The sequence below is a fragment of the Homo sapiens genome, chromosome 4 (genome assembly GCF_000001405.40).
Source record: "Homo sapiens chromosome 4, GRCh38.p14 Primary Assembly".
Lineage (NCBI taxonomy): Eukaryota > Metazoa > Chordata > Mammalia > Primates > Hominidae > Homo > Homo sapiens.
The window spans coordinates 52,508,659-52,513,320 of NC_000004.12; the positions used below are offsets into that span (position 1 = coordinate 52,508,659).

General features: G+C 41.4%; 1 non-coding gene across 1 annotated transcript; it reads left to right on the forward strand.

Annotated features, from left to right (window-relative positions):
- The first annotated feature begins 1,354 nt into the window (after positions 1-1,354).
- Positions 1,355-1,458, forward strand: LOC124900897 (small nucleolar RNA U13). Its single transcript, XR_007058539.1, has one exon. It is a non-coding gene; the product is annotated as a small nucleolar RNA U13 (small nucleolar RNA).
- The last annotated feature ends 3,204 nt before the right edge of the window (positions 1,459-4,662 follow it).

Below are 4,662 nucleotides of genomic sequence, written 5' to 3' on the forward strand. Positions count from 1 at the left end.
TCAAGATGAATTAAAGACTTAAATGTAAGACCTGAAACTATAAAAATCCTAGAAGAAACACCTAGGAAAAGCTCTTCTGAACATTGGCCTTGGCAAAGAATTTATGACTAAGAATTTATGACAAAGCAAATGCAACAAAAGCAAAAATTGACAAATGGGACAAAATGAAACTGAAAAGCTTCTATACCTCAAAAGAAATAATCAACAGAGTAAACAGACAACCTACAGAATGGGTGAAAATATTTGCAAACTGTGCACCTGACAAAGGACTAATAGCGAGAATCTACACGGAATTCAAACAGCTCAGCAAGGAAAAACAAACAATCCCATTAAAAAGTGAGCAAAGGGAAGGGTAGTGGGAGGGAGGGGTAGAGGTGGGGATAGTTAATGGATAAGAAAAAAAAATAGTTAGAAGAATGAATAAGGCCAGGCGCAGTGGCTTGTGCCTATAATCCTAGCCCTTTGGGAGGCTGAGGCAGGAGGATCACTTGAACCTAGCTTGGGCAAGGCTTGTGAACAGCCTGGGCAACATAGTGAGACCCCATCTTTACAAAAAATACAAAAACTAACTGGGTGTGGTGGCTTATGCCTGTGGTCCTAGCTACTCAGGAGGCTGAGGTGGAAGGATCACCAGAACCCAGGGAAGTCAAAGCTGCAGTAAGCTGTGATCTAGCCCACTGCACTCCAGCCTGGGCAACAGAGTGAGACCCTGTCTCAAAACGAACAAACAAAAAAGAATGAATAAGACCTAGTACTTGATAACACAACAGGATGACTATAATCAATAATAATTTAATTATACATTTAAAATAATTAAAAGAGCATAATTGGATTGTCTGTAACACAAAGGATAAATGTTTGAGGGGATGGACACCACATTCTCTATGATGTGATTATTACACATTACATTCCTGTATCAAAACATCTCATGTACTCCATAAATATATACACTTATGTACCCACAGAACTCAAAATTTTTTAAAAAAAAATTTAATGGGCAAAGGACATGAACGTTTTCCAAAAGAAGATATACCAACAGTTAACAAACATATGAAAAAATGCTCAACATCACTAATCATCAGGCAAATGCAAATTAACACCACAATGAGATATCATCTTACACCAGTCAGAATGGCTATTATTAAAAAGTCAAAATCAATAAATGTTGGCAAGGATGCAGAGAAAAGGGAATGCTTATACACTGTTGGTGGGAATGTAAATTAGTACAACCTGTATGGAAAACAGTATGGAGATTTATCAAAGAACTGAAACTAGAACTACTATTTGATCCAGCAATCCCACTACTAGGTATCTAACCTAAGGAGAAGAAATAATTATATAAAAAAGATACCTGATCCTTTTGTAGTTCATGAGCATGATGATTGGTTGTTCACGTACATGTGTGAGATGTGTCACCCTCGAACCTTGTGGCAATGTTGGAATATTACCTGTCTGACATGAAGAAAATTTAAAAACTTTTAAAAGTTTAAAAAGATATCTGCACTCATGTGTTTATGATAGCACCATTTATAATAGCAAAGATATGGAATCAGCCTAAGTGTCTATTAATGGATGACTGGATAAAGAAAATGTGGTGTGTGTATATATATTTATATGAATACGACTCAGCCATAAAAAAGAATGAAATCATGTCTTTTACAGCAAAATGGATGGAAATGGAGGCCACTATATTAAGTGAAAAAACTTAGAAACAGAGAGTCAAATACTACATGTTGTCATTTATAAGCAGGAGCTAAACAATGGGTCCACATGGACCTACAGAGTGGAATAACAAACACTGGAGACTCCAAAAGTGGGAAAGTGGGAGAGAGGTGAGGAATGAGAAGTTACCTAATGGATACAATGTACACTATTCAGGTGATGGTTACACTAAAAGCCCAGACTTCACCACTCCACAGTATATCCATGTAACAAAATTGCACTTGTACCCCGTAAATCTGTTTTTTAAATAGGAAGGGGGGCAAACCCAATATGACTGGCATCCTTAGAAGAAGAAGAGTCCTGCATGCACAGAGGGAAGACCATGTGAAGAGGCAGCAAGAGGCGAGCCATCTGTAAATCAAGGGTAGCCATCTACAGAATCCAGGATAGAAGCCTCAGAGGAAGCCAACCCTGCTGGCACCTTGATCTACAACAAGCTTGTCCAACCCACAGCCCACTGGCTGCATGTGGCCCAGGATGGCTTTGAATGTGGCCAAACACAAATTGATAAACTTTCTTAAAACATTAGGACATTTTTTTGAGATTTTTTTTTTTTTAGCTCATCAGCTATCGTTAGTGTATTTTATGTGTGGCCCAAGATAATTCTTCTTCTTCCAATGTGGCCCAGGAAAGCCAAAAGTTTGGAAACCTCTGAATTCAAGACCTTCCTGCAACAAAAACTGTGAGAAAATAAATGCCTGTTGTTTAAGCCACTGAGGCTGTGGTATTTTGTGATGGCAGCCCTAGCAACCTAATACACAACCTTATTTCTCACGTTCTATTTCTGTTCCTGTGTGCTCTATCACAAGTGAAATGCTGGAAATTCTGAAGATATGAATGCTTCCAATGTAAACACATTTCTTAAGTACCTTCTGCAAAGTTTGTGTAAATGCCTTTAGAAATTATGGCCCCCAAGATTATTCCTATGGCAATGGAGAGATGGTTTTTAAAATAAACTTCTATGGTAATATAGATGACTTAGGAGCAACCGTGAAGTTGATTTGTGGTAGGCTACCAGCCAGGATCTTACACTTAGCTTTATTAGTGCACCAGAGTTGGCTGAAAACAGGAATGCTGAACTTTTGCCATTCAAGCTCATTGAAATGTACAAACCAGACAGAAAATATGTTACTTTTCAGTAAAGGATATTTCTTTCTAGTGGCTAAAATACCCCTACTCCTTTCTGAGACATTGTCTTCTAACGAGCAAAATACTGAAGAAGATATATTATCAAATTGGCCAGGGACAGTGGCTCACGCCTGTAATCCCAGCACTTTGGGAGGCCGAGGCAGGTGGATCACTTGGGGCTAGAAATTAGAGACCAGCCTGGGCAACATGGTGAAACCCCATCTCTACAAAAAATCAGAAAGTTAGCCGGACATGGTGGCATGTGCCTGTGGTCTCAGCTACTCTGGAGGCTGAGGTGGAAGGATAGCTTAAGCCCAGGAGGTCGAGGCTTCAATGAGCCATGATCACACCACTGCACCCCAGCCTGGGCAACAGAGCAAGACCCTGTCTTAAAAAAAAAGTGATGGGAGTGTAGCATTAGAGCAAAGGAGGGTGGTGGACAGTTGTAGAGTTGTAGAGGTGTTCATCCAGGTCACTATCCCTGTCTCAGCAGAGCCACTCTCCAGGCATAGAAAGCTGGTGATTTCCAGAGTAGCATCGCTCATCCAGACAGTGCCAGGTTGGCACTACCAACTTTGAATGCTCCAAGGTGACCCTGCTTTTTCTGTTTAACTACTGTTTATCCAAAAAGGACACAGTTTGACTTGTGTCAATTTGATTTGGAAAAGGAAGGATTTGATTTCCTCTTTCTAATGACAAATTGCATTCAGGTTGGCATTTTAGCTGTTCACAAATTCTTCAAGTCCTCGTTTACAGGCAGTTTCTTGCTTTACTCTGGGAGACATCAATCATACCCACTGTATGTGGATTTTACTAAGCACTGAGAGCAGCCTTTCCTCCAGGTTTTAGAAAGCACATTGCTGTGATCTCATGAATGGACAATTACACCTGGTTTCCAGCAGGAAAAAAAATATCTATTCTAGGCACTAGCGTTCTTTATTTATCTCCCTCAGCAATTCGCTGGCTGCCCCTTGCTGCTCTTTAACTGTGTCCTGCCCACATATGTGTATGCTCAGCTTCTGTGACAAGTTGTACTTATCACATCCAAACATCCCTCTTGAATACCAGGGCACAGTTTATAATTTCTGTTTCACATAGGAGTAGCAGAATATCCAAGTAATTCTAGTGAAAGTTTGTTTGGTTGCAAGAAATGCACAAATTAGTTTGAATGAAAGTAGGAATTTCTTGTGGTGGGGGGTGGGTTGCAGGGGTACAGGGTCTTGTTCAGTTGCCCAGGCTGAAGTGAAGTGGCGCCATCATGGCACATGGCAACTTTGATCTTCTGGGCTCAAGCCATCCTCCCGCCTCAGCCTCCTGAGCATCTGGGACTACAGGTACATGGCATCACACAGCTAATTTTTTTTAACTTTTTTTGTAGGCTGGGCATGGTGGCTCACGCCTGTAATCCCAGCACTTTGGGAGGCCGAGGAGGGCAGATCACGAGGTCAGGAGATTGAGAATATCCTGGCCAACATCGTGAAACCTCGTCTGTACTAAAATGCAAAAAATTAGCTGGGCATGGTGGCATGAGCCTGTAGTGCCAGGTACTCGGGAGGCTGAGGTAGGGGGAGTCGCTTGAACCCGGGAGGCGGAGGTTGCAGTGAGCCAAGATTGCGCCACTGCACTCCAGCCTGGCGACAGAGCAAGACTTCGTCTCAAAAAAAAAAAAAAAAAAAAAAAAAAAAGGTTTTTTGTAGAGCCAAGGCCTTGCTATGTTGTGTAGGCAGGTCTTGAACTCCTAGCTTCAAGAGATCCTCCCACCTTGGCCTCCCAAAGTGTCGTGATTACAGGTGTGAGCCACTGCATCCAGCC